This window comes from Homo sapiens, chromosome 18 (assembly GCF_000001405.40).
Source record: "Homo sapiens chromosome 18, GRCh38.p14 Primary Assembly".
In the NCBI taxonomy this organism is placed as follows: Eukaryota; Metazoa; Chordata; class Mammalia; order Primates; family Hominidae; genus Homo; species Homo sapiens.
The window spans coordinates 55,714,041-55,734,640 of record NC_000018.10 but is presented as its reverse complement, the minus strand read 5'-3'; the positions used below and the strand labels follow the sequence as shown (position 1 = coordinate 55,734,640).

Here is a 20,600-nt window from a genome sequence, read left to right as displayed (position 1 = left end):
CGTGGCTGGGGAGGCCTCACAATCACGGCAGAAGGTGAAATGCACGTCTTACATGGCAGCAGGTAAGAGAGAATGAGGGCCCAGCAAAAGCGGAAATCCCTTATAAAACCACCAGATCTCATGAGACTTATTCACTACCATGAAAACAGCATGGGGGAACTGCTCCCATGATTCAATTATCTCCCTCTGTGCCCCTCCCACAACACATGGGAATCAGGAGAGCTACAATTCAAAATGAGATTTGGTTGGGGACACAGCCAAACATTATCTGTCCTTAAGAGATGACAAGACCTATTCTTATTCCTACTCCGTAAGTATCCTGTCCCTTCCTGTTATATTTAATTCCTTCACCTGTACCCTGGATTTCATCCTCTCTAGGATCATGAGATCCTGTTTCTCCCAGTACCAGGCCTCCTCACCCTGACATAGTCCCACTCTAGTTGTTCCATTTCTGCACATCATTGTTTGCAAGTTCTGTTAACCCTCTTCCACCCTAATGGAGTCCAGTCACATGTAACCCTGAAGGGCATGCATGAAAGGCAAGGGCAAGTGCATCAGGAGAGCCAATATAAGACAGTGGTCAAGAGCCTGGGCCATGTGTCCAGATTTCCAAGGTAGCACCTTGTCTTTACTGTCTACAAACCCTGCATCAGTTTCCCCAACTGTAAAAAGATGGGAACAGTTATATATATGTCATTAAGTTGTTGTAAGAATTTAAAAATTTAATCATATTACAAATAATAATTTAATTATGATGCCTAGAATATTGCCCATGATAACACCTATGCATAGTAAACACCAACCATTCTCTGTACAGGTTAAGGCTCTATATTGTGTACCTGCATCACTTCATCACCTTCCTGCTTCTGACCCTCCAATGTATTTTGAAAATGCCAGTAAATTCTCTGAGCTTATCAAGTTCACCTTTGACTTCCATCTAATTTTCCACGTTATACACAGCCCCAGTTCCGGCAGCAAACACAGATCTGAGTATTTTTTTTAATGGCCTCTGCCCCCAAATCAATAGGCCGAAGTAGGGGTTTGATGTCTGGCCCCTCATCCCAATATGGGAAACTCTGAAGGGTCTTCCCATCCTCCAGACTCCATAAGATTGGCTGAAGCCTACACTGAGACAGCATCACAACCCAACTACTCCTTCCAAATCCTTCCCTACTCCTCCTTACCTTTCCTCCCCTAGGTGTTGATCCCAAAACAGTGCCTAATAAATTCCTGCATGCCAACCTCCATCTCAATGTCTGCTTCCTGGGAAAATCAACCTGCAACACCCAGACCAGTTCACACAGTCATGCTTTGTGAAATGGGGCCCCATAGCTAACGAAGGTGATGCTTAATTTCCCAAACAGAAGGGTTATTATTGACCTAAATGGTATCTGTATTTGTTTCTTGGGTGAGGACTCATAGGAACCCTATATTTGATCAGATTGAGACCAACTGTAAAAGTCTGGCTATGGGCCATTGCAGGAATGTCGGCCTCCTTACCTTGCCCATTGTGGTATTAGCAGTCCTGGAGGGAGAAGTCCTAGACTATCCAAGCGGCCCAGATGTCACTAGTGTTCCCAGGACTCATCAGAAATGATCATCTCCAATTTCTCAGCCATAAATGAACCAATAGCCAATCTCCTCAAGAAGGAAAGGAATTTGCTGATTCTTGGCCATCATTGCATCATTTCAGCAGTTGAAAATTGTCCTCTCTCATACCTCAATCAACATCAACCAGCTCAGCTCAAAGCTACTACTAAAACCAGAGCAAGCAGGTCACTAGCGGGTAACTGCCAACATGAGAAGTAACACACCATGGGCTAAAATTACTGGAGAACTGGCCTGCTTTGTCAGTGGGTACAGTTGCTACTTTTTATAGAACTGAAGCTATAATTCAAAAATCCAATGGATCTTTCTCAGGACTCCTGTATCAGGGCTTACTGTGGTTGGGCTACATTCTTTTGAAATCTGTAGTGAAAGCCTGGTGATTGTTGAAGATGACACCCTCACTCAGTTGGTCTCCTTCCAATCACAGTGCACTCATGAAAAGAGGAGAAGTAAAAGACCTGGGCCTTTCTGGAGAATATTGCACAGCTGTTTAGAAAAATCTGCTCTTGGGACCTTCCCAGAAAAGTCCTTAAGGAAAATCACAATGGGAGTGAGGTCATATGCTCATGGCATTACCTTGGCTATTATTATGTATTATTGTTTGCTATTGTCTTGTTGTTCCAACTAAAAGAAACAGCTTGTTCTCTAAGATGTTGTGTTTTCTTTTTGAAGACCTGAGTCATCTAACTCCCACAGTCCTATGGGAGTGGAGATAAGGGTTTGTGGTTTTAGGATGTTGTTTCTTTGAGGTGGGGGAGACAGCATAGAGGGAAAGTAATACTTTTTTTAAAAAAATTTGGGTCTTGATGAATAAGATCAGTCTCTCCAGCTCTGTGTCTGACGCCTCTCCTTTTTATACCTAAAGATATCCAGCACCAAACAAATCCTAGCAATTCTACTAAACTTCCAATCATTAAAATAGCATGTGCAGTGAAAGAAAAGCATACACGTTCTCATTGCATATGCTTTTTGTCCAAGAGCAACAGAAAAGCATCTGTGTGTGTTTCATAGGAAAGAAAACACCTAGAAACTGTAGGGAAATTCTGGTGATTTTTTTATAAATTCCCCAAACAAGGTTTTTCATATATAGATATGACTAGATGTGTATCATCTCTCTGTCATCTGGCTGCAAGTGTAACTATTCATATTTTTGCACTAGCAGCCAGTCAAAATTGCCTTGGATTCAAAACCGAGCTCTCAGTTTCTATGTTACAACATGCACTATCCGTACACAAGGATACTACTTGTCCTTATCGAGTCATAAATGGAAAGTCACCTCATCATTGGTGGCCTGATCATCACTGGTGGGTGTGTTTGAAATTGCTCTCTGTTACCACGTGGCAGTCTTCCTTGATGATTCCCTTACTCCACAGGAAAATAACCCAGAGGGGAAGGGAAAAAAATGAGAACTGTGGATAAGGTTACCTTTCTTAAAGAAAGGGCCAAACTGAGAGCCAGCACTTCTTAATATCACATATTGCATGATTCAAATGAAGCATAGAAATGCCAAAGAAATTTTAGAATTTTTAAACACAAAGTTCAGATATAAGGCTTTGCATCTTTATGGCAGACAGGAGTCTGCTGTATGTGATTATCAAAATTATTTGTTATGTCAAAGGGAAAATTCTGTATGCTTGCATTTTGTATCTATTACAAAGATAATATTTGAAATTATACTTAGATCTTGTTTTAAGAGAAACCATCATGAAAAAGTAGTTTTCATGTAAGATGAATTTGATGGGTAAAAATCCACTTAACAAAATGGTCTTTTGTGTTTCCAATTTACCATGGGATTTCTCCTAATAAGAAAATAGAAATAAAAATTTTGACTAATAAAAATGTGATTTGTGAGATGTGGCATAGCACAGTGGTTAAGGGCACAGCCATGGAGCCAGATTGCCAGGGTTCGAGTCCCGTACTTGGCTGTGTGACCTTGGGTAAGTTCCTTAACCTCTTTGTTTCTCAGTTTCCCTGTCTTAAAATACAGCGTAATAATACCTAACTCATGAAATTGTTAGAAAAATTAAATAACTAAATATTTGTAAGGCCCTTAAAATAATGCGAAGTGTCAAATAAGTGTTTGTTCAGTGAATAATGAAGTTTTCAAGAATGTACATGTTCCAGAAATTAAGGCAAACTTGTATATTACATCTGATTGTCTGCATGTTAAGATGTCAATACAGCAGCATACTGTATTTTTTTAAATTCCTAGATCTGCCTACATACTTGATTTTTTAAAAGATATCTCAAGGACAGTAATCAGTCTTATGTAATTTTTTTGCTGTACCATAAGATAATTTTTATTATAATTATAAAAAATGGTAGGCAATGCCCTTACAAATATTTATATTGAAGCGTTGAGCATGTTTTCCTATGACCCAAAATAGTGCTTACTTTAACTATAATTAAGTGTTAAATTCATGTATTTTGTTTGCAGGCCCTGCCTCCTTCTCCTCTCCAACCTCTTCGCCCTCCACCCCTACTTTTCCATCCTTTCCTGAAAAATAAAGTGGGGAGATAGAGGCAGAGAAAGAAAAGAAAAAGTAAAAAATAAAGAAGAAAATCAAACCAGTATTTTTTAGTAAATTGGGACTAGAATTACATGATCAGAATAATACAATTTAAAAACATATATATACATACGCATGCATATTATATGTATTTAAACATATAAATATGTTTAAATTATTTTAATAATTTAATATATATTAAATATATACGTATGTAAATTTGCTATCTACACTGCATATTCCCACAGCTCATATGTTCAAGACTAAATCCTCCAGTGATTCAAAGAGACACCAAAGGAATCCAAACTGCCAGTCTGAACCTGGGAAGTTGAAGATGAAGAACACTCCAGGATTTAGGGGAAGCATAAGAGTGGAATGTGAATCATTTGCTTGAGGGGCTTGCCTTGTCCCTTCTCGTAAGACTTTGTGTCTTGCTTGTAGTTACTTTTCCTGGGGAGACAGGCAAAAAAGTACCCTTCTATTCTCATGTGTTCATTTATGAAAGGGTTAAGACTTGTCCTGCGAAAACTAACCCAAATGTTTCCAAAATGCACAAGTGAACAAAATTTAGAAACTAATCTCGAAAAACAAATGAGAAGAAATTTAGTTTCTATACTATACTCAGCATGTAGAAATTATAATATAAAAATTCCCTTCCTAAACACAGGCTTGCGAGAATCGGTTAAGGGAAGGTTTCATTTGTGTACTCATCTAAATAATGGTTTTCATGTCCAACTTCTATTTACTTCATGTTATTCACTCATCTATTCTTTTCCCAAACCTTCAGGCTTAGCAAAATTACCCTTTCTACCTCTCACATGGTCCTTTCTTGTTTTGTCCTGTTGTTTAGTTGGTGGGCTTTTTTTGTTTGCTAAATTGCTTTTTTTAAACCATATTTTAAAGCCAGTGTCTTTTAACATACGATTTTAAACTTAGAAAAGATATAAGGGGCCAGGTGCAGTGGCTCATGCCTGTAATCCCAGCATTTTGGGAGGCTGAGGCAGGCTGACCACTTGAGGTCAGGAGTTTGAGACCAGCCTGGCCAACGTAGTGAAAACCCACCTCTACTAAAAATACAAAAATTAGCCGGGTGTGGTGGTGCGCACCTGTAATCCCAGATACTCTGGAGGCTGAGGCATGAGAATAGCTTGAACCCGGGAGGCGGAGGTTGCAGTGAGCCGAGATCACGCCACTGTACTCCAGCCTGGGCGACAGAGCAAGACTCTGTCTCAAAAAAAAAAAAAAAGAAAAGATATAAGGGAAAAATAAAATGAGTACAAAGAGGAGCATGGAGAACTAAGGAGGTGTTAGGAAAGTTGGGTTAAGCAGAAAAAAGAGAAAGGGGAAGAATTTGTTATGTGGGTGATTTCTGTTTTGTGAAATCTATAGCTTTAGTGTCATTGGATTGGTTTCCTAGGACTATTGCTACAAAGTACTTTGGATAGCGAAAATAAACAGAAATTTATTCTCTGAGTTCTGGAGGCTGGAAGTCTGAAATCAAGGTGCCAACAGGGCCATGCACCCTCCAAAACTCTGGTAGAATTCTCTCCTGTCTCTTCCAGGAGGCCAGCAATCCTTGGGGTTCCTTGGCTTGCAGCTGCACCATTCCAATCTCTGCCTCTTCATCACACAGCATCCTTCTTGTGTGCCTGTCTTCATATCCCCTTCGTTCTTATAAGGACACCAGTCATATCAGATTAAGTGCCCCACCCTACTCCAGTGTGATCTCACCTTAACTAATTACATCTACAACCACCCTATTTCCAAATAAGTCACATACAGTATTAGAGGTGAGGATTTCAACATGTCTTTTTGGGAGATACAATTCAACCCATAACAATTAGTAGTAGTAATAACAACCAACTACAATAGCCATGTAATTGTACATACTCTACGTATTATCTCACATATTCTCACAGCAAGCAATATTATCCCTCATTTGATAGATTGAGAAACTTCCATTTTAAGAGGTTAAGTCCCTTGCCTCAGGTTACAGAGCTAATAAAGAGAGTTCAAGTTTAAATAAAGACTCTAAAGCCCAATTCTTCCCTGTAGTATTTTACAAAAGAATGTGATTTTACTGTCAACAACTCTTCAGCACTGACCCATTTGTTACTTTGTGTTACCCATTTGTTAAGTGCTTTATGAAGCCTTAAATGGTCTCTAACACTATTAACATAACAGGTTGAACCATATAAATAGTAAATTACATGGGAACATAGGGTAGTCACTATATGTCAATGTCTGGATTTGTTGGGGAAGAGTGGATACCCTTTACTCCCCAGGGTCTAGGATTTCAGATCCTACAGTTAGAACAGCCGTAGTGCTTATGATACAACAGGAAACAAAAGATCATGAAGACCTTTAGATTATTTAAATGCTGCCTAAACTCTCTTTAGTTATAAAGTGCCCATCACATTGCTTACAAGCCAGGAGGAAGTATTTTATCCTGTAAAAAATTTACAACACTCTATTCCTAAATTCAATCGTTCATATGCCAATTTCAAATTTTTGTTTTATTAACAGATGATCTGTACTTAGTATGTTTCTCATTCATTTGCTTTAAGTAAGCAATTTTATTGTAAATAGATACTCAACACTTTCGTTGGCCAGACACGGTGGCTCAAGCTTATAATCCCAGCACTTTGGGAGGCTGAAGGGGGTGGATCACCTGAGGTCTCGAGCTCGAGACCTGCCTGACCAACATGGCGAAAACCCGTCTCTACTAAAAATAATATTAATAATAATAATTCAAAAATTAGCTGTGCGTGCTGGCATGCGCCTGTAGTCCCAGCCACTCGGGAGGCTGAGGCAGAAGAACTGCTTGAACCCGGGAAGCAGAGGTTGCAGGGAGACGTGATTGCACCACTGCACTCCAGCTTGGGTGACAGAGCCAAAAAAAAAAAAAAAGAAAAAAGAAACTCAACATATTAGTAAATTAAAAACTGGTTTTATATGTTGTACATAGAAGTATAAGTTGTATTTATTTTAGGACATAAATACAGTTAAAACAATATCATCATGTTTTAAAAATGAAAATAAATAAGGAAATAAAAGTTTGTAAAAAGGTAGTCAACTTTCAAAACGTACATCTGAAAATTAAGTCCCTCAATGAGGAGAACTGGAATGGGATAGGATCAGTCAGTAGTACAAGATTATTTGGTTTTGTGTTGTGTGGTTTAAGACAGAGTTGAGTTTTACACCAACAATGTAGTTCTTTTTCTCAATTTTTTTGTTTTCTTTCTTTCTTTTTTTTTTTGAGACAGGGCTTCACTCTTTCACCTAGGCTGAGTGCAGTGGCATGAACACAGCTCACCACAACCTCAATGTCTTAAGACTCAATTGATCCTCCCACCTCAGTCTCCCAAGTAGCTGTGACTATAAGCAAGAGCCACCATACCCAGCTCTCTCTCTCTCTTAATATACATACATATATACATATATCTCTATATATACACATATCTCTCTCTCTAAATATACATACATATATATATTTATACTATATATATATATATATATATATATATATATATATATATATATATATATATATATGTCACAGGGTTTCACCATGTTGCCCAGGCTGGTCTTGAACTCCTGAGCTGAAGCAATCCACCTGCCTCAGCCTCTCAAAGTGCTGGGACTACAGGCATGAGCCACCACACCCGGCCCTTTTTTCTTAGTTTTGATGATAGCTGGCACTAAAGGACCCCAAATCATATGAGTATGTTGTTGGAGAGGAGAAAAGATATTCAGCCACTGATATGGTTTGGCTCTGTGTACCCATCTAAATTTCCTCTTGAATTGTAATAATCCCCACAGGTCAAGGGCAGGACCAGGTGGAGATCATTAAATCATAGGGGCAGTTTCCCCCATACTTTTCTTGTCATAGTGAGTGAGTTCTCACAAGACCTGATGGTTTTATAAGGGGCTTCCCCCTTTGCTCAGCACATCTCCTTCCTGCCACCATGTGAAGAAGGATGTGTTTGCTTCCCTTTCTGCTACGATTGCAAGTTTCCTGAGGCCTCCCCAGCCCTGCAGAGAACTGTGAGTCAATTAAACCTCTTTCCTTTATAAATTACCCAGTCTTTATAGCAGCATGAGAACAGATTAATACAACCACCTTCTCTGATAGATTTGATAATCATTATTAATTTCTAATCAAAATAATGTAAGTTAATTTCCTTCAAAAATTTTTACTCCAAGAAACTGTATGAAGAGACCTCCAGAATATAGCTTCCTGATGGTAACAAAAAATTTGATAATGTTCTAAGTGATGGAAAACGGGTTCATAAGGTATCCAGGCAGGAGTGCTGTTTCAGCCACAGGACCATCTTGGCATACGAACTCTGCTGGCCAGAAACCCTGCAGGTAAGGCAAAGCCTTAGGGAATGTGAGCCCTGAAGGGTATCTCCCAAGGCCTGGGGGCCCCATACTGCTTTCTCCACTGCCATCTTTCCCTCCCCTCTGGCTCTAGGCACTGCTCTGGCAACCTAAGCAAATTCCAACATACTGTCCAAGGTCAACCCACATGCCACAATTGTTACAGGTGCCACAAAACTGTATGCAAATTAAATATCTCATTTTATTAGAAGGAATCAGCTTTCAGTTATTACTTTTGGAGGGTTATAATCATATCATGCATTGCTCCCTTCAACTCAGTATTTACTGAGAACATATTATGCCCTAGATGTGGATCCAAGGACTGGATATGCATGCAGCAATGAATAACGTATATATGATTCTACTCCCTCTTTCTCCACCTTAGTTTATAGTCAGAAAGAGAAGTCAAACGTTGAAGAAATAATCAATTGTAAAGGTAATGTGTTTGGGGAAGTATAAGATGCTATGGTTGCAGATAGGAATCTAACCTAATCTAGAGGACGGAGAAGATCCTCTTGGAGGAGTGACCTTCAGGTGACACATGAAGAATGATTAGGAACTTCCCTGGTAGAAAGGGAAGAGTGGCCCCTGAAGGAAAGGAGGGCAAAAGAAACCAGATTAAAGAAGTTCATGTCAAAGACTGGGTTCTGATCCTAAGGACAATGGGAAGCCATTGAGAGCTAACTCTTCACATCAAGTCTCAATTTCAGGTACTGTCCTACATAGTCTATTTGTCTAATTGGATTTAATACTGATGACCATGAAGTAAACATTATTAGCCTAATTTTTAATGGACAATAAAGAATTTCTTAGGTGGAATTAGTGAATGCATAAAGCATCAAATGCTAAAATTTTGGCTCTAGATTTTCTAAATAAAAATCACAAAAGCCCTTTTTAAAAAATTTAGCATCTTCTTATTAAAAATGACAAATGTTTTTAGTTTCAAAGAACTTATAATTTTTAGAATGAAAAAGGCAAGAAAACTGAGATCCGGATATTCAGGTAGGAAAGAAATTCTCTTTCTATAGTTTCAAAATACTCCCAGTTGAGAATAAAGAGAGTAGGGCAATATGTGCTTGAAATTTATCATAGTTTTTTAATGACCATTGTAATGGGCTGCAGGAAATTCTTCTTTCATGTGTTTAATGCATAAGACAGGAGATACATTTTAATCAGAGTCAGATTCACACAGTCCTCAAAACCTTTATCCAACACTTAAATCCTTGTAAGCCTGCTTCAAAGCAAAGAGAAAAAAATAATGCTAGTGAGTACTCCTACTCTCAAATAGGATTTACCTCCAAAACACTGTCATACATCTGTTATCTCTACATATTCTCACAATCTAATTTTCAGTCATCTAACCTCTTTAAGAATATTGTTAGCTCCATTTTATGGATGAGAGAACTGAGACACAGGATTGCAAGTGATTTTCTCATTATTATTATTATTGTTATTATTATTATTATTATTATTATTATTATATTATTATTTGAGATGGAGTCTCGCTCTGTTGCCCAGGCTGGAGTACAGTGGCGCGATCTCGGCTCACTGCAAGCTCTGCCTCCCGGGTTCAAGCCATTCTCCTACCTCAGCCTCCTGAGTAGCTGGGACTACAGGCGCCTGCCACCACGCCCGGCTAATTTTTTGTATTTTTAGTAGAGACGGGGTTTCACTGTGTTAGCCAGGATGGTCTCGATCTCCTGACCTCGTGATCCACGTGCCTCGGCCTCACAAAGTGCTGGGATTACAGGCGTGAGCCACCACGCCCGGCCCCCGCAAGTGATTTTCTCAAAGTCAGTAAGGTACTGATAGACTCTAGAGAGAAATGCAGTTCTCAGAATCCTAACTTCATGATCTTTTCACTACATCAGGGTTCCTTGATCTCAACACTATTGACATTTTGGGCTGGATAAGTCTTTGGCCTGGGCATTGTAGGATGTTTAGCATTCTATATCCTGGCCTCTGCCCACTTGAAACCAATAGCAACCTCCTCCTTCTCCTAGTTGTAACTACAAAAATGTCCTCAGATATTGACAAGCGTCCCCTGTGGGACAAATTCACAGCCTACTTAAGAATCATTGCCCTTGATGATTCTGTGTGTCCCTCTAAGAATACATATCTCAACTGTTAGAGTGATTTGTATTATAGATGCATATTTGTATAAATTCACTCTTCTTTGCACAAATTAATGATTACAAAATTAATATGTCTTTGAAGATAATCTGAAAAATGAAATCCATAAACATGCCCCTTAGAAGCAGCCCAGTTAACATTTTGATTTTTGGTAGCTTATGCATATTAGCATTATACACACACACACACACACACACACGTGAGGTTTTTTGTTGTTTTTTGTTTTTGAGACAATGTCTCGATTTGTCACCCAGGCTGGAGTCCAGTGGTGCAATCTCGGCTCACTGCAACCACTGACCCCAGGGTTCAAACACAACTTCCGACCTCCGGGTTCAAGCAATTCTCATGCCTCAGCCTCCCGAGTAGCTGGTACTACAGGCATATGCCACCATGCCCAGCTAATTTTCACCATGTTGGCCAGGCTGATCTCTAACTCTTGATCTCAAGGGATCCACCCACCTCGCCCTCCCAAAGTGCTGGGATTACAGGAATTAGCCACCCTGCTCAGCCTATATTTTTTATTATGTTTTTATTTTTATTTTTTATTTATCTAAGGCGGGGTCTTACTCTCTCACCCAGGTTGGAGTGCAGTGGTGTGATCACAGCTCACTGCAGCCTTGATCTCCTAGGCTGAAGCGATCCTCCCACCTCAGCCTCCCAGGTAGCTGAGACAACAGGCAGGCACCATCATGCCTGGCTTTTTTTTTTTTGTAGACATGGGGTTTTGTCATGTTGCCCAGGCTGGTCTCAAACCCCTGGCCTCATGTGATCCTCCTGCCTGGGCTTCCCACAGTGCTGGGATTACAGGTGTGAGCCACTGCACCCAGCCAGCTTTTATATTTTCAAATAAATTTAATACTATTGAATAAAAAACTTTATAAGTAACATTTTCTATCCCCTAAATATTTTCAAATGACTTGAAAAAGTGTCTGGCATCCCATTATATAAATATAGACCATGCATAAATATATTTCACCTTATTTTTAAACTTTCAAAGTTTCATTGTCATAAATAAGTCTGTTATGAACACTATTTTATTGAAATCTTTGGGAGTATGTCTATTTACTTAATATAAATTTCCAAAGTTGAGTTACTCAGTTAAAGGGAATATGATGGTTTACTGCCATCTTGTTAAATTGAATCACACTTCTGGCCAAGAAAATGAAAGAACTTATTTTCCTAAACCTTTGCCAACATTAAGTTGTTTGTTTTCACCTTTACCAAATTGGTATCTGAACATTTTTATTCTGTTATTAAATGTTTCTATTTTAGATTGTGAGATAGATGATTTTTAATACTTTTATTAGTCATTTTGTAAATTGCTTGTACATGTTGTTTGTTAGTTTTTTCTATGGATTATTCATATTTTTCCATCAAGGTTTGCAAAGACTCCCATAAATTTAAAATTTTTAGTCATTTCTCAAATATAATGTAATTTTTATCTTCAATGTTTGGCATCTCTTTTTATTTTTGGCAGTGTAATTTGTCTTTTAATTTTAAGTAATGACAAGTCCAAAATGTAATTCCATTATGATGTTATGATGTTGAACTGTATTGAATCTAAAAATGGATTGTGGGGGAACATTGGCATTGGTACAATACTGAGCCTTCCCACCTATGAACATTTGTTCTTTCCCTTTTTCTTTTTAATGTCTTTTAGGAAAGTTGTCTTCTTCATAGAGGGTCTACACATTTCCTAATTCCTAGCTTCATAAGGTTTTATGAGTATCATATGGGATTTATTTTTTCATTGCATTTTCTAACTGGTTATTTTTACAATGTTCTCTCTCCATTATTAGATTTTTTAATTTCTAAAATAACATCTAGTCCTCGGCACACAGTGGGTATTTTGTAAATGTTATAGACTTGCAGTTGTTCTTAATTTCTCAGTATTTTAAAAATTATATTAGCAGTTTATCTGTGGGTGATCTTTTAAGAAAATGCTCAAACTCAGCTGGGCGTGGTGGCACACACTTATAATCCCAACACGTTGGGAGGCTGAGACAGGCAGATCATTTGAGGTTAGGCGTTCATGACCAGCCTGGCCAACATGGCAAAACCCCATCTCTACTAAAAATACAAAAAGTTAGCGGGACGTGGTGGTATGTGCCTTTAGTCTCAGCTAGTCAGAAGGCTGAGGCATGAGAATTGCTTGAACCTAGGATGCAGAGGTTGCCGTGATCTGAGATCATGCCACTGCACTCCAGCCTAGGCAACAGAGCCAGACTCTGTCTCAAAAAAAAAAGAAAAAGAAAATGCTCAAATTTACATTTCTTTCCTTTTGCATTATGCTGTAGGGTACTTATATACCATAGTAGATATCACTATGACAAAAGTATATTTAAAGGAACAGCCTATTGATACATTAAGCAATCATCTAAGTGAAGGTTAATAAAAACAAGCATTAAAATAAGAATCAAAAAGTTGAGACTTATACCTATATACTAGTTTAGAAAGTAAGTTTAAAATTACCTTCAGAGGGAGGAGCCAAGATGGCCGAATAGGAACAGCTCCGGTCTACAGCTCCCAGCGTGAGCGACGCAGAAGACGGGTGATTTCTGCATTTCCATCTGAGGTACCGGGTTCATCTCACTAGGGAGTGCCAGACAGTGGGCGCAGGTCAGTGGGTGCGTGCACCGTGCGCGAGCCGAAGCAGGGCGAGGCATTGCCTCACTTGGGAAGCGCAAGGGGTCAGGGAGTTCCCTTTCTGAGTCAAAGAAAGGAGTGATGGACGGCACCTGGAAAATCGGGTCACTCCCACCAGAATACTGCGCTTTTCCGACAGGCTTAAAAAACGGTGCAACACGAGATTATATCCCGCACCTGGCTCGTAGGGTCCTATGCCCAGGGAGTCTCGCTGATTGCTAGCACAGCAGTCTGAGATCAAACTGCAAGGCGGCAGCGAGGCTGGGGGAGGGGCGCCCGCCATTGCCCAGGCTTGATTAGGTAAACAAAGCAGCCTGGAAGCTGGAACTGGGTGGAGCCCACCACAGCTCAAGGAGGCCTGCCTGCCTCTGTAGGCTCCACCTCTGGGGGCAGGGCACAGACAAACAAAAAGACAGCAGTAACCTCTGCAGACTTAAATGTCCCTGTCTGACAGCTTTGAAGAGAGCAGTGGTTCTCCCAGCACGCAGCTGGAGATCTGAGAACGGGCAGACTGCCTCCTCAAGTGGGTCCCTGACCCTTGACCCCCGGGCAGCCTAACTGGGAGGCACCCCCCACCAGGGGCACACTGACACCTCACACAGCAGGGTATTCCAACAGACCTGCAGCTGAGGGTCCTCTCTGTTAGAAGGAAAACTAACAAACAGAAAGGACATCCACACCAAAAACCCATCTGTACATCACCATCATCAAAGACCAAAAGTAGATAAAACCACAAAGATGGGGAAAAAATAGAACAGAAAAACTGGAAACTCTAAAAAGCAGAGCGCCTCTCCTCCTCCAAAGGAACGCAGTTCCTCACCAGCAACAGAACAAAGCTGGATGGAGAATGACTTTGATGAGTTGAGAGAAGAAGGCTTCAGACGATCAAATTACTCTGAGCTACGGGAGGACATTCAAACCAAAGGCAAAGAAGTTGAAAACTTTGAAAAAAATTTAGAAGAATGTATAACTAGAATAACCAATACAGAGAAGTGCATAAAGGAGCTGATGGAGCTGAAAACCAAGGCTCGAGAACTACGTGAAGAATGCAGAAGCCTCAGGAGCCAATGCGATCAACTGGAAGAAAGGGTATCAGCGATGGAAGACGAAATGAATGAAATGAAGCGAGAAGGGAAGTTGAGAGAAAAAAGAATAAAAAGAAATGAGCAAAGCCTCCAAGAAATATGGGACTATGTGTAAAGACCAAATCTACGTCTGATTGGTGTACCTGAAAGTGATGGGGAGAATGGAACCAAGTTGGAAAACACTCTGCAGGATATTATCCAGGAGAACTTCCCCAATCTAGCAAGGCAGGCCAACGTTCAGATTCAGGAAATACAGAGAACGCCACAAAGATACTCCTCGAGAAGAGCAACTCCAAGACACATAATTGTCAGATTCACCAAAGTTGAAATGAAGGAAAAAATGTTAAGGGCAGCCAGAGAGAAAGGTCGGGTTACTCTCAAAGGGAAGCCCATCAGACTAACAGCGGATCTCTCGGCAGAAACCCTACAAGCCAGAAGAGAGTGGGGGCCAATATTCAACATTCTTAAAGAAAAGAATTTTCAACCCAGAATTTCATATCCAGCCAAACTAAGCTTCAAAAGTGAAGGAGAAATAAAATCCTTTACAGACAAGCAAATGCTGAGAGATTTTGTCACCTCCAGGCCTACCTTACAAGAGCTCCTGAAGGAAGCACTAAACATGGAAAGGAACAACCAGTACCAGCCGCTGCAAAATCATGCCAAAATGTAAAGACCATCGAGACTAGGAAGAAACTGCATCAACTAATGAGCAAAATAACCAGCTAAGATCATCATGACAGGATCAAATTCACACATAACAATATTAACTTTAAATGTAAATGGACTAAATGCTCCAATTAAAAGACACAGACTGGCAAATTGGATAAAGAGTCAAGACCCATCAGTGTGCTGTATTCAGGAAACCCATCTCACGTGCAGAGACACACATAGGCTCAAAATAAAAGGATGGAGGAAGATCTACCAAGCCAATGGAAAACAAAAAAAGGCAGGGGTTGCAATCCTAGTCTCTGATAAAACAGACTTTAAACCAACAAAGATCAAAAGAGACAAAGAAGGCCATTACATAATGCTAAAGGGATCAATTCAACAAGAAGAGCTAACTATCCTAAATATATATGCACCCAATACAGGAGCACCAAGATTCATAAAGCAAGTCCTGAGTGACCTACAAAGAGACTTAGACTCCCACACATTAATAATGGGAGACTTTAACACCCCACTGTCAACATTAGACAGATCAACAAGACAGAAAGTCAACAAGGATACCCAGGAATTGAACTCAGCTCTACACCAAGCGGACCTAATAGACATCTACAGAACTCTCCACCCCAAATCAACAGAATATACATTTTTTTCAGCACCACACCACACCGATTCCAAAATTGACCACATACTGGGAAGTAAAGCTCTCCTCAGCAAATGTAAAAGAACAGAAATTATAACAAACTATCTCTCAGACCACAGTGCAATCAAACTAGAACTCAGGATTAAGAATCTCACTTAAAACCGCTCAAATACATGGAAACTGAACAACCTGCTCCTGAATGACTACTGGGTACATAACGAAATGAAGGCAGAGATAAAGATGTTCTTTGAAACCAACGAGAACAAAGACACAACATACCAGAATCTCTGGGACGCATTCAAAGCCGTGTGTAGAGGGAAATTTATAGCACTAAATGCCCACAAGAGAAAGCAGGAAAGATCCAAAATTGACACCCGAACATCACAATTAAAAGAACTAGAAAAGCAAGAGCAAACACATTCAAAAGCTAGCAGAAGGCAAGAAATAACTAAGATCAGAGCAGAACTGAAGGAGATAGAGACACAAAAAACACTTCAAAAAATTAATGAATCCAGGAGCTGGTTTTTTGAAAGGATCAACAAAATTGATAGACCGCTAGCAAGACTAATAAAGAAAAAAAGAGAGAAGAATCAAATAGACGCAATAAAAAATGATAAAGGGGATATCACCACTGATCCCACAGAAATACAAACTACCATCAGAGAATACTACAAACACCTCTATGCAAATAAACTAGAAAATCTAGAAGAAATGCATAAATTCCTCGACACATACACTCTCCCAAGACTAAACCAGGAAGAAGTTGAATCTCTGAATAGACCAATAACAGGATCTGAAATTGTGGCAATAATCAATAGCTTACCAACCAAAAAGAGTCCAGGACCAGATGGATTCACAGCCGAATTCTACCAGAGGTACAAGGAGGAACTGGTACCATTCCTTCTGAAACTATTCCAATCAATAGAAAAAGAGGGAATCCTCCCTAACTCATTTTATGAGGCCAGCATCATTCTGATACCAAAGCCAGGAAGAGAAACAACAAAAAAAGAGAATTTTAGACCAATATCCTTGATGAACATTGATGCAAAAATCCTCAATAAAATACTGGCAAAACGAATCCAGCAGCACATCAAAAAGCTTATCCACCATGATCAAGTGGGCTTCATCCCTGGGATGCAAGGCTGGTTCAATATATGCAAATCAATAAATGTAATCCAGCATATAAACAGAGCCAAAGACAAAAACCACATGATTATCTCAATAGATGCAGAAAAGGCCTTTGACAAAATTCAACAACCCTTCATGCTAAAAACTCTCAGTAAATTAGGTATTGATGGGATGTATTTCAAAATAATAAGAGCTATCTATGACAAACACACAGCCAATATCATACTGAATGGGCAAAAACTGGAAGCATTCCCTTTGAAAACTGGCACAAGACAGGGATGCCCTCTCTCACCACTCCTATTCAACATAGTGTTGGAAGTTCTGGCCAGGGCAATTAGGCTGGAGAAGGAAATAAAGGGTATTCAATTAGGAAAAGAGGAAGTCAAATTGTCCCTGTTTGCAGACGACATGATTGTATATCTAGAAAACCCCATTGTCTCAGCCCAAAATCTCCTTAAGCTGGTAAGCAACTTCAGCAAAGTCTCAGGATACAAAATCAATGTACAAAAATCACAAGCATTCTTATACGCCAACAACAGACAAACAGAGAGCCAAATCATGAGTGAACTCCCATTCACAATTGCTTCAAAGAGAATACAAAACCTAGGAATCCAACTTACAAGGGATGTGAAGGACCTCTTCAAGGAGAACTACAAACCACTGCTCAAGGAAATAAAAAAGGATACAAACAAATGGAATAACATTCCATGCTCATGGGTAGGAAGAATCAATATCGTGAAAATGGCCATACCGCCCAAGGTAATTTACAGATTCAATGCCATCCCCATCAAGCTACCAATGACTTTCTTCACAGAATTGGAAAAAACTACTTTAAAGTTCATATGGAACCAAAAAAGAGCCCGCATCGCCAAGTCCATCCTAAGCCAAAAGAACAAAGCTGGAGGCATCACACTACCTGACTTCAAACTATACTACAAGGCTACAGTAACCAAAACAGCATGGTACTGGTACCAAAACAGAGATATAGATCAATGGAACAGAACAGAGCCCTCAGAAATAACGCCACATATCTACAGCTATCTGATCTTTGACAAACCTGAGAAAAACAAGCAATGGGGAAAGGATTCCCTATTTAATAAATGGTGTTGGGAAAACTGGCTAGCCATATGTAGAAAGCTGAAACTGGATCCCTTCCTTATACCTTATACAAAAATCAATTCAAGATGGATTAAAGACTTAAACGTTAGACCTAAAACCATAGAAACCCTAGAAGAAAACCTAGGCATTACCATTCAGGACATAGGCATGGGCAAGGACTTCATGTCTAAAACACCAAAAGCAATGGCAACAAAAAACAAAATTGACAAATGGGATCTAATTAAACTAAAGAGCTTCTGCACAGCAAAAGAAACTACCATCAGAGTGAACAGGCAACCTACACAATGGGAGAAAATTTTTGCAACCTACTCATCTGACAAAGGGCTAATATCCAGAATCTACAGTGAACTCAAACAAATTTACAAACAACCCCATCAAAAAGTGGGCGAAGGACATGAACAGACACTTCTCAAAAGAAGACATTTATGCAGCCAAAAAACACATGAAAAAATGCTCATCATCACTGGCCATCAGAGAAATGCAAATCAGAACCACAATGAGATACCATCTCACACCAGTTAGAATGGCAATCATTAAAAAGTCAGGAAACAACAGGTGCTGGAGAGGATGTGGAGAAATAGGAACACTTTTACACTGTTGGTGGGACTGTAAACTAGTTCAACCATTGTGGAAGTCAGTGTGGCGATTCCTCAGGGATCTAGAACTAGAAATACCATTTGACCCAGCCATCCCATTACTGGGTATATACCCAAAGGACTATAAATCATTGCTGCTGTAAAGACACATGCACACGTATGTTTATTGCGGCATTATTCACAATAGCAAAGACTTGGAACCAACCCAAATGTCCAACAATGATAGACTGGATTAAGAAAATGTGGCACATATACACCATGGAATACTATGCAGCCATAAAAAATGATGAGTTCATGTCCTTTGTTCATGACATGTTCATGATGAGTTCATGACATGGATGAAATTGGAAATCATCACTCTCTGTAAACTATCGCAAGAACAAAAAACCAAACACCGCATATTCTCACTCATAGGTGGGAATTGAACAATGAGATCACATGGACACAGGAAGGGGAATATCACACTGTGGGGACTGTTGTGGGGTGGGGGGAGGGGGGAGGGATAGCATCGGGAGATATACCTAATGCTAGATGACGAGTTAGTGGGTGCAGCGCACCAGCATGGCACATGTATACATATGTAACTAACCTGCACAATGTGCACATGTACCCTAAAACTTAAAGTTATTTAAAAAAAAAAAAGAAAAAAAAAACCAGAAAAAAAATAAAAATAAAATTACCTTCAATGCGTTTATTTAAAAACTAATGAATAAAATTGAAGTACCAATTTACAAAATGATATAGATTTTATTTTATGTCAAATTCAAAAATTCAAAAGGTGTCAAAATTACAGTATTTACTGTTTTGGGGGAGGAGTGGTGGACAAAGCAGAATTATTTGAAGAATTTTAATTTATTACTTATAATTTTGCCTAGTAGAGACCTTTTGTTTTGTAGATCTGAATCTTTTCTAATTAGCACATTTGATGCTTTATGTAAAAGAGTGTGACTATAGGAATTTTAGAAACTTGGAAGCAGTGTAGTCAGGCTAAGCATTCCTTTTGCAGTCTTTACAGTTTTAGAATGCTTAGCATTAGAATCTTTTGTTTTTCATATACAGTGCAAAGATAAAGCAGCTTCCACTCATTAACATGGTACAGCTTTATGATATTTATTGTCTCTATGAGCAGGTGCTTTAAATCACGAACAATCTATGCAACCTATAGTAAATCACTTAATCTCTCTGGACCTGTTTCCTCATTCATTACAGGAGAACATGTGAATCAATGACTGCAAAAATATTCCTTTTCACTCCACAATTCTGAAGTCTATAATTCAAATTGCATGGTGTTATTCTTTAGCCTGCAATTTTTACTCTGCCCTCATAAAATAGATATGAGTTTTATATAAATAACACTGACTACTTAAAATATTCAACAAATGGTTAAAAATGTGAACTCTGAGCTTTTACTTTCAGCCATGATTGAGTAGCTGGTAGCAAACTAGCCCTCCTATGTTAAACCACTGTAAAACTGGACAAATACTCCAGACATCGGAAAGCAGGCAATGCAAGACTATGACCCTTGAGCACTAGGTAACTCTCAAGGGAAGCTCTACAATCAATTGAGACCTTTGCTGTGGGACACCTTCTCATCTGTGGTGTAGAGTGCTAGAATCTAAAATAAGTAAAGTGGTCTCAGTGAAGTGAGGAAGGCAGAGATAAGCATCAGCAGCAGCTGGAGTGACTGAAATGTGCAAGGCAGGACATTAGAAAGGATGAAAACAGGCCCAGTAAGGAGCTCCAGAGTCTATATGGGGTTCCCCTATAAGTTTTTGGCCAAGGATGCAGGGTGAAACTACTTTAGGCTTACAAGAGAGCAATTGCTTATAGTATTAAGAGAATGACAGACACACTAGAAGTTGAGTAGTTCTGTGGTAGTTGAATTGTCTACCCAGTCAGAGTGTGGAAATCTCTTTAACACCATATCATGTCATATGGCATCCAGCTGGAACATCAGAAAGGCTGTACCATAAAAGTAAAACCTATGTCTTAAAGCAAATCCCACTTTCAATCCCTCCAGAGCAGAATAAAACCAAGTCCTGACAGGATCTGCTGAGCAGAGACAGTCACATCAAGTAAAGGGAGT

The 20,600-nt window shown here is 39.4% G+C and overlaps 1 long non-coding RNA gene across 1 annotated transcript in view, besides 1 other annotated feature; it reads right to left on the bottom strand.

The window, feature by feature from the left end:
* LOC105372130 (uncharacterized) overlaps positions 1–20,600 on the bottom strand; it is a 177,123-nt gene that overhangs the window by 107,759 nt on the left and 48,764 nt on the right. The window lies entirely within an intron of this gene.
* Positions 12,555–13,344: an enhancer, noted in NCBI's record as "NANOG-H3K27ac-H3K4me1 hESC enhancer chr18:53388528-53389317 (GRCh37/hg19 assembly coordinates)". NCBI's record gives its function as "activates a minimal SCP1, AML or CMV promoter by ChIP-STARR-seq in primed H9 embryonic stem cells {active_cell/tissue: H9 hESC(primed)}" and the evidence as "EXISTENCE:reporter gene assay evidence [ECO:0000049][PMID:30033119]".